The sequence below is a fragment of the Homo sapiens genome, chromosome X (genome assembly GCF_000001405.40).
Source record: "Homo sapiens chromosome X, GRCh38.p14 Primary Assembly".
NCBI classification, from domain to species: Eukaryota; Metazoa; Chordata; class Mammalia; order Primates; family Hominidae; genus Homo; species Homo sapiens.
This window is the reverse complement of record NC_000023.11, coordinates 100,797,090-100,809,998: the sequence shown is the minus strand read 5'-3', so window position 1 is coordinate 100,809,998 and position 12,909 is coordinate 100,797,090. Positions and strand designations below refer to the sequence as shown.

At 39.7% G+C, this 12,909-nt stretch overlaps 2 pseudogenes, besides 1 other annotated feature; one reads left to right on the top strand and one right to left on the bottom strand.

Annotated features, from left to right (window-relative positions):
- Nucleotides 4,706–5,303: an enhancer, noted in NCBI's record as "OCT4-NANOG hESC enhancer chrX:100059685-100060282 (GRCh37/hg19 assembly coordinates)". NCBI's record gives its function as "activates a minimal SCP1, AML or CMV promoter by ChIP-STARR-seq in naive H9 embryonic stem cells {active_cell/tissue: H9 hESC(naive)}" and the evidence as "EXISTENCE:reporter gene assay evidence [ECO:0000049][PMID:30033119]".
- On the bottom strand, nucleotides 6,740–8,887 carry RAD21P1 (RAD21 pseudogene 1; annotated as a pseudogene).
- On the top strand, nucleotides 9,177–9,907 carry PPIAP89 (peptidylprolyl isomerase A pseudogene 89; annotated as a pseudogene).

The following is a 12,909-nucleotide window of genomic DNA, read 5'->3' as shown; positions in this document are numbered from 1 at the left end:
ACAAAAATACAGAAGGTAAATGAAATGAAAAGCTGGTTCTTTGAAAGACAAATAAAATTGATAGACCATTAGCAAGATTAACCAAGTAAAGAAGAGAGAAAATCCAAATAAGCTCAGTAAGAAATGAGACGGGAGAGGGCCGGGTGCGGTGGCTCACACCTGTAATCCCAGCACTTTGGGAGGCTGAGGTGGGCGGATCATGGGGTCAGGAGATCGAGACCATCCTGGCTAACACAGTGAAACCCTGTCTCTACTAAAAACAGAAAAAAAATTAGCTGGGCGTGGTGGTGGGTGCCCGTAGTCCCAGCTACTCGGGAGGCTGAGGCAGGAGAATGGCGTGAACCCAGGAGTGGAGGTTGCAGTGAGCTGAGATGGCACCACTGCACTCCAGCCTGGGGGACAGAGTGAGACTCCATCTCAAAAAAAAAAAAAAGGAAAGAAATGAAATGGGAGATATTACAACTGACACCACAGAAACAGAAGATCATTCAAGGCTGCTATGAATACCTTTATGCACATAAACTAGAAAACCCAGAAGAGATGGATAAATTCGTGGAAAAATACAACCCTCCTAGTTTAAATCAGGAAGGATAAGATACCCTGAACAGACCAACAACAAGCAGTGAGATTGAAATGGTAATTAAGAAAATTACCAACAAAAAAAAGTCCAGGACCAGACGGATTCACAGCAGACTTCTAGCAGACATTCAAAGAATTGGTATCAATCCTTTTGACACTATTTTACAAGACAGAGAAAGAAGGAACCCTCCCTAATTCATTCTATGAAGCCAGCATCATCCTAATACCAAAACCAGCAAAGAACATAACCAAAAAAGACAATTACAGACCAATATTTTTGATGAACACAGATGCTAAAATCCTCAACAAAATACTAGCTAACCAGTTCTAACAACATATCAAAAAGATAATCCACCATGATCAAGTAAGTTTTGTACCAGGGACGCAGGGATGGTTTTACCTACACAAGTCAATAAATGTTATACACCACATAAACAGAATTAAAAACAAAAATCACATGATCATCACAATACATGCAGAAAAAGCATTTGACGAAACCCAGCATTCCTATATGATTAAAACTCTGAGTAAAATCGGCATACAAGGGACATACCTTAATGTAATAAAATCCATCTATGACAAACCCACAGCCAACATAATACTGATTGAGGAAAAGTTGAAACCATTCCCTCTGAGAACTGGAACAAGACAAGCATGCCCACTCTCACCACTCCTCTTCAACATAGTACTGGAAGTCCTAGCCAAAGCAGTCAGACAAGAGAAAGAAATAAAGGGCATCCAATTGGTAAAGAGGAAGTCAAACTGTCACTGTTTGCTGATGATATGATCATGTTAGATATGAGTTCTAAATTTCTTTTCGAAGAATTAATATGTCAGTATGTTCAATTCTTTGCCTTCTACTTTTAAACTTAACTTCCTCGTAAAGCAACCTTTTTCGGTTACCTACTCCACCCTGACTCATTCTGATCACCTGCTCCACCCTACATTCCAATCACCTGCTCCACCCTAACTCATTCCATTTACCTGCTACCTGCTCTGCCCTGACTCCCTCCAAAGCACTCACCCCGTCATTCTCTTTAAATTAGCTGGTCGGAATTAGTTTAGTCTGTTCGGTCTGACCCTAGCCAATAGGGGAACAACAGCAGCAGGGGCCATGTGTGTCAGGGATAAGAATCCCTTCCCCTCGTCCAAGTGTGCGCTCACCATTGTTCCATCTGTAAGGGCACACCCTTCTATAGAGAAGTAACTAGCCTTGCTGAGAATTAAAAAGAAAATTTTATATTTGAGTGCTATTTCTTTTGTGCCACTGAAACTTTATATATAGCAGTCATTTACCTTGAAACCCCTAAAGACTCCTCCAGAAAGCTCCTAGAACTGATAAAAGAATTCAGCAAAATTTCTGCATACAAGATTAATGTACACAAATAAGTAGCTCTTCTATACACCAACAGCAACCAAGCAGAGAATCAAATCAAGAACTCAACCCCTTTTGCAATAGTTGCAAAAAAAAAAAAAAAACACTTAAGAATATACCTAACCAATGAGTTAAAAGACCTTTACAAGGAAAACTACAAACACTGCTGTAAGAAATCATATATGACACAAACAAATGGAAACATCTCCCATGCTCATGGATGGGTAGAATTAATATTGTGAAAATGACCATACTGCCAAAAGCCATCTACAAATTCAATGCAATCTCTATCAGAATACCACCATCATTCTTCACAGAATTAGAAAAAACAATTCCCAAAATCATATGGAACCAAAAAAGAGCCCGCATAGCCAAAGGAAGACTAAGCAAAAAGGACAAATGTGGAGGCATCACACTAGCTGATTTCAAACTATACTATAAGGCCATAGTCACCAAAACAATGTGGTACTGGTATAAAAATAGGCACGTAGACCAATGGAACAGAATAGAGAACCCAGAAATAAACCCAAATACTTAGAGCCAACTGATCTTCAACAAAGCAAACAAAAACAAAGTGGGAAAAGGGCACCTTTTTCAACAAATGGTGCTGGGGTAATTGGCTAGCCACATGTAGGAGAATGACAATGGATCCTCATCTCTCACCTTATACAAAAATCAACTCAAGATGGATTAAGGACTTAAACCTAAGACCTGAAACTATAAAAATTCTAGAAGATAACATTGGAAAAACCCTTCTAGACATTGGCTTCAGCAAGGATTTCATGACCAAGAACCCAAAAGCAAATGCAATAAAAAGATAAATAGCTGGGATCTAATTAAACTAAAGAGCTTTTGCACAGAAAAGGAACAGTCAGCAGAGTAAACAGACAACCCACAGAGTGGGAGAAAAGCTTCAGAATCTATACATCTGACAAAGGACTAATATCCAGAATCTACAACGAACTCAAACAAATCAATAAGAAAGAAAAACCCACAATCCCATCAAAAAGTGGACTAAGGAGATGAATAGACAATTCTCAAAAGATACACAAATGGCGAAAAAATGCTCAACATCACTAATGATCAGGGAAATGCAAATCAAAACCACAATGCAATACCTCCTTACTCCTGCAAGAATGGCCATAATAAAAAAAACAGTAGACGTTGGTGTGGATGTGGTAAACAGGGAACACTTCCACACTGCTGGTGGAAAGTAAACTACTACAGCCACTATGGAAAATAGTGTGGAGATTCCTTAAAGAACTAAAAGTGAACTACCATTTGATCCAGCAATCCCACTACTGGGTGTCTACCCAGAGGAAAAGAAGTCATTATTCAAAAAAGATAACTTGCATATGTATGTTTATAGCGGCACAATTCACAATTGCAAAATCATGGAACCAACCCAAATGCCCAGCAATCAACAAGTGGATAAAGAAACTGTGGTATATATATATGATGGAATACTGTGCAGCCATAAAAAGGAATGAATTAGCAGCATTTGCAGTGACCTGGATGAGATTGGAGACTATTATTCTAAGTGAAGTAACTCAGGAATGGAAAACCAAGCATCACGTGTTCTCACTGATATGCGGGAGCTAAGCTATGAGGACACAAAAGCATAAGAATGATACAATGGACTTTGGGGACTTGGAGGGAAGAGTGGGAGGTGGGTGAGGGATGAAAGACTACAAATACAGTGCAGTGTATACTGCTTCGGTGACAGGTCACCAAAATCTCACAAATCACCATTAAATAACTTACTCGTAACCAAATACCACCTGAACTCCAATAACTTATGGAAAAATAACAATTAAAAAATTTCCTTTAAATATGGTATTCAATTCCTTGTGTCCTTCAAGGTTTTTGCTGAGAAATCCACTGATAATGTTATTGAAGATCCATTGTGCATGATGAGTTACTTTTCTCTTGCTTCTTTCAAGATTCTTGAGGGGGCCTTAGACTTTGTATTGTATTCCTTTACCTCTGATCTCTTGCCCCCGGTTTCTGTGAGTCTGTAGTCCCCCTGCAGTGTTCCATGTCTTTGGCTTTTGTTAGAATATAATGTGTCTTGGTATGTACTGCTTTGGGTTTATCCTACCTGGAGATCAGCAAGATTTTTGGATTTGTGAATCAATGCCTTTCCTCAAATTTGGGAAGTTTTCAGCCATTATTTTTTCAAATAGTTCCTCTGCTCCTTTCTTTATCCCGTCACCATCTGAGATTTCTGTAATGCATATATTGGTTAGCTTGATGGTATCCCATAGGTCTCTTAGTCTCTGTCCACTTTTCTTAATTATTATTATTATTATTTGGTCTTCAGATTCAATAATTTCAAAGGACTTATCTTCAAGTTCACTGATTCTTTTTTCTTCCTGTTTGAATCTACTGTTGAATCCCTCTAGGCGTTTTTCAATTCAGATACTGTATTTTCAGCTCCAGAATTTCTGTTTGGTTCCTTTTTATAGTTTCTCTTTGTTAATATTCTCTTTTGTTTATGTGTCATTTTTCTCATTTCCTTTAGTTCTTTGAGTTTTCATTTAGCTCTTTGAGCATATTTAAGACATTTTGTCTTTGTCTAGTACTTCTGATGCTTGTGTTTCTTCAGGGACAGTTTCTGACAGTTTATTATCTTCCTTTGAATGGGCCATATTTTCCTGTTTCTTTGCATGGTTTGTTATTTTTTTGTTCATTTTTAAAATTGATCATTCAAAAAAACAGCCACCTCTGCTAGTCATTACAAGTAGGTTCTGTGCCAGGGAAGACCTTCACTAATTAGCAGGGCATGCTGTCAGCTTTGGGATCAGCCCCATGTGAGGTCTTAAGGTCTTCTTAGACCTCTTTTGGCTATGCATTTTGCCTTGGCCTGGGTATCTGTTGTTGTTGTTGTTGTTGTTGTTTTCCAGTTCCCTTGAATGCATGACTGCTTAAAATGTCTCAATTTCCTAAAGAGTCTCACCTCTGCTTCTCAGAAGGTGGGCTTAGATGTTCTATTGTATTCTTCTACTTCTGATCTCTTGCTCCAGGTATCTGTGAGTTTGTAGGCCCCCTGCAGTGTTCATGAGTAGTGCCCATCATTTCCTGTGGCTTTTCCTGAGCCTGAGTATCCAGCCATGTTGCTTTTCCCTGTCTGACCTCCGAATTAGGTAAAACAGAGACCAGTACCTCAGGCAGCCCCTTGACAGGTTAGAATGTTGCAAATAAAGTCCACTTTCCTCTCTCTGGGGTTCCAGGGAGGGAATTGGGAGCAGGGCTGCTGCTTCCCCAGGTGTGCCAGGAGGGAAGGATGGGGTACAGGCAAGTAAAAATGTCACAAAATTTCTAACCATTTTGACTGTATCGTTTTCTTGACTAGGTGTTTGCTTGGTTGCTATAGAACTTTGAGTATTTTTCAGACTTCCTATAAAGTTATTGTAGCCAGTCTGTAATACTATAATTTGTTTCAACTTATAACACAACTTTTATTAGAAGAGTTATACATAACATAGCATCAACTATTTTCAAGAACAATATTAAACCCAATAAGCAAAAAAAACAGACTAACAAAATGTGTAACAAGAAACCAATGACCTTTCTAAAATCAAACATTCAATTATCTACAATGTCTTTTTACAAACAGGGAAAACTCCATGGTTTACAGGCACAGCATATTGAAAATAAATCTGCAATAGCAATTTTTTATGGTTAAACTCTCAAGAAACGGAATCATTAAAACAGTAATGAGTTCACAAATTTAAAACATTTCACATAATTTTAAATTATTGAGTATACACTGAAGTCTGTTTCAAAAGTGATTTTTTTCCCCACGAAAGTGTCAACACTTAAGCTAGAACTTTCAGTGTTAATTTTGCCCTAAAAAGTTAAGACATATTCTGATAATCATAATAGTCACATGATTTCTGATGCTATCTGGTCTGTTAATATAGACCTTTATTTGGATGTGTTTTTCTTCAGTTAAATTATAGGAAACCGGATATAGGATTTCGTTGCAAAGCTATTAAAGTTCCAAACACAGGAGTGTGCAGCACTGGAAAAGGAGATCAGTACTAAAACTTACAATAAATATCAGAGAAGCCATTAGTTTTTACAGCATTGTCTGCTTAAAGGTTAAGTTGACCTGGTGTATAATTTCCCATCAGTCTGTCCTTGTAGTAGGCAGGGTAATTTCTGTTTTCATGATCTGAATAGTCAAATATATCCAAACATCTTTTTAAAACTTCTATTTATAGGTCCTAGAAAGTCTGCTATTTGATAGTCACTCTACTCTAATCAGGCCTATTTCTGCTCATTTTGGAGCCTCACTAAAATGACAGATTTCGAGATAGCGAAGTTCATCAGAAAGACTCAAATGGAATGATTTACAAAATAGAACACTTTAAACCAAGTCAGTCCTATCTGTAGCTGAAGGGTATCAGTCACAACACAATTTCACGTACACGTTTGCTCATTAGGGAATTACACTTAAAACGAATCTCAAGAGGGTGACCTTTGTTATTTCAGGTACCATCCCTAAGGAGAGTGGTTAACAAGAAGATTGCCAGTGTTACTACTGATGGAAAGGCTTTTTTTTTTTCTTTTCAAAGACTCATACCATAGTTTTAAATTAAACTGTCAGGCATTTTCCCAGACAGGTTTTCCTTTTCAATGCAGTAATGAAGAACTAAGATAAAAATCATGACTTTCAACTGCCACTCAACATCATTGCATGCACCAATATTGCACACATCTGTTCTGAACTGTTAATCTTCTGAGTCCTTAGGGTGCTGTTTTCTCCATCAGAACACAAACACATCCATCTAATCAGTTTCCCTCAAAGATGAAACTGACAAATTTAATATACTGGGAAAAAATGAGAAAGAAAAAGGCAAAGACTTTGTACAGACAAAAATCTAAGTTTTCTCAAAGGGTTCTGTGTCTCCTACACATGGGGGCAATTTGTAAGCACTAGTGAAATGAACACTAGCTATAATGCTTCTAGCTCCTCATAAAATATGGAACTTTGGCCCGGGTGTTGCGATGATGTTACTGTACAGTTCTTCCTGTGTCAGCTCAATAGCTTGCTGCTTTTTAAGAACCAAGAAGCTGTAGAACTTTGCAACAGTTTGTTTTCTGTTTGTGTTTTGATATAACTCAAGCAAACTGATAGATTCAGCTCCAGTTTTAGCAAGAGCTCACTGAAGACCGTGAAGCATCTGCTGAGTCCTTTTCTTCCATCTTCTTTCTTCCTGATCTTGATCACCCCCTGAAACATCTTCATCCTTTTCCCCTTCATCATCTTTTTTTCCCCTTTTCTTTCTCATTCTCTTTTTCTGGCAGAAGTTCTAACTCTGGTATTAGCTGACAGATATTTGGAGGTTCTTCTTGGGGAAGCTCTACAGGCAGTATTTCCATCTGCTCAACCTGCTGAGGAGGCATCACAGGCTCTGGGTTAATTTGTCCAGCTTTTCACTTAACTCCCTGAGGTGGTGGTGGAGGCATAGCTGACTCATCCAGATTTGTTCTGCTGGCCTCATCACTGACTTCTGGAGATGGCTTGGCTCTTCCAAAATGGGCTTATCAATAACATCATGCTGCTGGTGTAGCTGTTGCTAGTTCTCTCTAGGAACCTCTGGATTTTCAAGTTCTTTGAGGAACTCATCCAAATTATCTGTCCCTCCTTTCCCCCTTTTTCTAAGGTCTTCTGGTACAAGTGGTGTAAGACAGCATGTAAAGAGCGTCAGTAGTCTGTTATTCCACAAAGGCTGAGCAGGTAAAGAAAACAGTTTTTCTACTACTCCTGTCTCTTTCCACATCACCTATTTCTTGGTGGGTGGTGCCAGATCCAAAGTAGTAACAATATCAGAATAATCATTAAGCTGGGCTCTAATTGTCTTGCTATCCAAGTTTTTGACACTGTCAACAATTAGCTTCCTCTTCCTCTTGGCGTTTGTTTCTTTAACAGTTATATCAATAGGTTCCAATGCAAATGCTTCTTCCTCATTTGGAACAAGTGTTGTTTGATCAGTCATAGTTGGCTGGTTCAACAGGATTCACTGAATCAGGACTATCAGGCCCACCCATTGATGTATTATCATCCTCACCCGTATATCATCATGTGCAGGCTGCTCTGGCAACATTACCTCTGCCTCAGAGAGGGCAGGGGGATCATCAAAGATACTACCATCATTATTACTAATAAGTTTGTCTTCTAATATTCCACCATCATTTCCTTCTCCAAAATTATTATCTTTATATTGGTCTTCATATTCTAAATGGTTAATTTTCTCATTCAGATTGCTGGTGCTCTGTTCAGACTCTAATAGGAGATTAGAAGCAGTAGTGCCTACTAACATGTCATCATCCTCAAAAGCACTGCTTTCTCTGATCTCAATGATCATCCATTCCAAAATCGCCAAAACCATTTTCTTGTAAAATACTGATATTCCCAACTTCTTCTCTCACGGTTATTTCTTCCACTCTACTCTGACCCAGGCTGAACTTCTGGGCCACATCGATGTCATCTAAGTCAGGCAGTGGCTGATCAAAGTCATGAAATTATTCAAGTAAAGTAATGGTGTTATAAGCTGCTTCCTGATTTTCCTCAGGCAGGTCAACACCTGATCAAAAAGCCATCTTTATCTTAATGAATGCTTCATTACAGTCTGCAAGAAGATATTTGGCTTTCCTGTGATAGATTCAAACTACTCCCAGTAAGAGATGTCCTGATGTCCGTAATGCTATCTTCACCTTTGGTGAGATGATACTCTCCATGCTGCTCTCTAAATTACACTGTAACACAGGGGCTTTGGTTAGCTTCTTATCCCAATGGGCCGCTAGCCAAATTTTGGCCAGAGGCCCTCTTACTGAGGACAAAATGTGCATAGAACATTGTTCTGGTTGCCTATGAAAATAGAAGGAAACCTTGCTCTCCACTGGGAGTTGGGCAGGCTGGGTCCAGTCTGTATTATTTTTTAAATGTTTTGTCAATTGAGAAAAATGATGAAATAAGTCCCAATGATTTTAGATTTATTTGCCAAAGTTAAGGACGTGCCCAGGAGACAGGTCTATGCCTTTCTCCGAAGGTGATTTTGAGGGCTTCAAATTTAAAGGGGAAAGGGTAGGATATTGAGAAGTAAACAATTTTCATGTAAGAGGGGGTAGGGAAAAATAGTCATTCATGCCTTTGTCTGGTTCAGCAAATCTGCATTTTTTAAATATAAGATAACATAGAATGGCCACTTCACAGATGCTGCTGCTGCCAGGAGCCCCGTACTATCAGCCATGGTCAACCCCACCTTGTTCTTCAACATCACCATAGATGGTGGGCTCTTGGGCCACATCTCCTTCAAGCTGTTTGCAGACAAGTTTCCAAGACACCAGAAAAATTTCATGCTGTGCACACTGGAGAGAAAGGATTTGGTTATAAGGGTTCCTGCGTTCACAGACTTATTCCAGGGTTTATGTGTCAGGGTGGTGACTTCACATTGCCATAATGGCACTGGTGGCAAGTCCATCTACAGGGAGAAATTTGATGACAAGAACTTCATCCTAAAGCATACAGGTCCTGGCATCTTGTCCATGGCAAATGCTGGACACAAACAGTTCCCAGTTTTTCATCTGCACTGCCAAGACTGAGTGGATGACAAACATGTGGTCTTTGGCAAGGTAAAAGAAGGCATAAATATTGTGGGGGCCATGGAATGCTTTGGGTCCAGGAATGGCAAGACCAGCAAGAAGATCACCATTGCTGACTATGGACAACTTATTAAAGTTTGACTTGTGTTTTATCTTAACCACCAGACCATTCCTTCTGTAGCTCAGGAGAGCACCCCTCCACCCCATTTGCTGGCAATAGCCTATAATCTTTGTGCTCTCATTGCAGTTCCCTTTGGGTTCCATGTTTTCCTTGTTCCTTTCCATGTCTAGCTGGATTGCAGAGTTAAGTTTATGATATGAAATAAAACTAAATAACAACAAAAAGGCCAGGCGTGGTGGCTCACGCCTGTAATCCCAGCACTTTGGGAGGCCGAGGCGGGTGGATCACCTGAGGTCTGGAGTTCGAGACCAGCCTGACCAACATGGAGAAACCCCATCTCTACTAAAAATACAAAAATTAGCTGGGATTGGTGGTGCATGCCTGTAATCCCAGCTACTCTGGAGGCTGAGGCAGGAGAATTGCTTGAACCCAGGAGGCGGAGGTTGCTGTGAGCCGAGATCGTGCCATTGCACTCCAGCCTGGGCAACAAGAGCGAAACTCCATCTCAAAATAAATAAGTAAATAAATAAATAAATAAATAAATAAATAAAAGATGACATAAAAGGGGCAGAGGAAAAATCTGGGGAATCTGCATTTTACATAAGATAACATAGACAAAATTGGGCAGGGGAACACTCAGATATGCATTTATGTCTGGTGGGCCAGGGGCGACTGCACCTGTAAAGATAAGCTATCGATTTGCATTGCCATGGTGAAATTTTAACAACTCACTAGAAATTTCTCTGTGGGCAAAATATGGAGGAGACATGTAGCTTTTCATCTTGTAACAATTTTATTGAGGAACCAAAAGGGGGAGGCAGGTTTGGATGACCCAGTTCCCATTTTGACTTTTGCCTTTTGCTAAATGAGTTTGGGGGGTCCCAAAATTTAATTTCCTTTCAGGTTTCCCCTCTTTTTTTATTTAAAATCTTTTGAAGGAAGCATTTTAAAAGGAATATGGGTTCTTGGCTACAGGTTGATTTTTCCTCCCTTTTCTGAACTGGTTTCCTGTTGCTAGGATAGTTTATTTCTAGAAGTTTAGGTCCCACATCACCAGGAAGGCTCATTCCTAGGAAGTCACGCCCATTGTCGCTAGGAAGGCTCATTCCTAGGAAATTGTGTCCCACGAATATTTAAAAAAAAAAGGGAGAGGAAAAAAGGAAAAAGGAAAGGAAAAAAGAAAAAGAAAAAAATATATATATAGGGACCTAGGTCATATTTATAGCAACAAAAGGAAAGCAAACCTTGAAGCTGGGTCAAGCTATATTACTGCTTCCTCAATTAAAGCAATTCTCTGGGCAATTATTACCCCAGCCCTTTCAGTTGTGCATTAACTTATTTGCAAGCACATACCGTAACAACATTGTAGCAGAAACAGGACAGAACACAAATTATTATTATTCCTATTATAAGCAGTAGCTTCTGCCACCAAGTTCCCCAGGATCCAAACCAACTACTCAACCAATTGATTAGTGAGGGTTTTAGATCTGACAGGTTGGTTATCTGGGTTTTCATATCAGTCATAAATCGAGTTATGTTCTTCAATTCATCTGAATATACACACAACATTCAGTTTTTATGACGGCACAGGTCCCCCCTTGTGCTGCAATGAGTATATCTAAAGCCATATGGTTGTATAGCACAACTTTCCTCATAAGCATGACCTCATTGCTTAGCAAGGCAATACTCATGTGGCTATCATTCAGGGCCTTTTGGATGTAATTGGGTAAGGCCTCTATATGCCATATAACATCTTCAATACCTGTCTGTGGTACAAAGATTAAAGCTAAGTGATCATACCATTGGAATACCTAACATGTCCAATGAAATTGTAAATGAAAAAGGTTTGCTGGTTTTGGCAGGGTCTGGATTACGTGTCTTGTGCCCAAGCATAACCTAGGGAACATCATCCTAACTACCCTAGAGGTAACCACGGCCATAAGTTAGTGCCACATAGCCAATATGTCCCATTTGGAGCTATCCAATAAATACCTGATTGCTGCACCCAATCGGTGGCATTCCAGTCAGCGTCTTGTAATATGATAATGTGGTCACAGCATTCTCCAGGTGTCCACCCCGTATCTCTCGTACTGTTTGGCCATAGGTCCTTGATATGGTTTCTTTCTCCCAGCACAGAGGAGAATTTTGGCTGAGTTGGCCAGACGAACGGGTGAGCCAGATAAATCCAGCCCAAATTTGCATTATTCCATTTTGAAAATGAGCTGTTGTTTGGGGTGTGGTTACCACCTTCTGTTTTAGCTGGGGGGATGCTAAAGTGAGAGCTAATGACCTGGTCCTTTCCATTCAAAATCTTTTCCCATGTCCCTTGTTCTTAAGAGTGTTTTTAATGGGCCAATTGTATGTATTGTCTTTTGTTATCCCAGCACTAAGAATACCAGACCATTTCTGTGATGTGATAAATTTTTGGTATTCTATCCAGTCCTGACCTTGGAAGGGGGATATCCACCATGGCAGGCTGGAGCCACTGGAAAGAGGCATGAGTCTGCATATCCAGCAGGTGTTCTTTGTAATTTGTCTGCATAATGCTGAGCCCATTGTAGAAACAGGTTTGTTTCATGGGCATCAGTGGGTGGCAGTGGCAAGAAAGTGTAGGGATATAGGATTAATAATAGCAAGGTTGCGAAATTCATTTTAGTTACTAAATGGTGTTAAATCAGACAAGGCAAGTGCCCTGTCATTTATAAGACAGCAGTTGCCGGTATATCTAGGACAATAATTGTAATGGTTACTGTACAATAAACAGAGGCGTTCCCTTTGTATACAGGCCTGGTTCTGTGTCTTGGGTTTAAGCAGTCCACAACAGCTGTTGTCTGCTTCTAATCCTGGGTTGCAGGTTGATGTTTAGTGAACCGGAGGTGAAGGTCTTTGGTGGGAGTTACAGTCCACTCAGGAGGTTGTGCCTTTTTAAGATGAGAGATGTGAATCCATGAATCTATACTCTTTAATTTTGCAGTACATGGATTAGTCAGTAGTGCCTGGTACGGGCCCTTCCATCAGGGTTGAAGGGAATCCTTTATTAGATGTCTTTTCCAATAGATGAAATCTCCAGGTTGCAGATGACCAGGCACCTTATCTTCGGGGAGCGCACCGTGAAAGGAATTTTTTAACAAATTTTGGTTTTTTCTAAGATGATAAATGAGTCCCTCACAATATTGCAATATATCTCCCTGGAGAAAAGTTGGATTGGTTATGTTCGTTC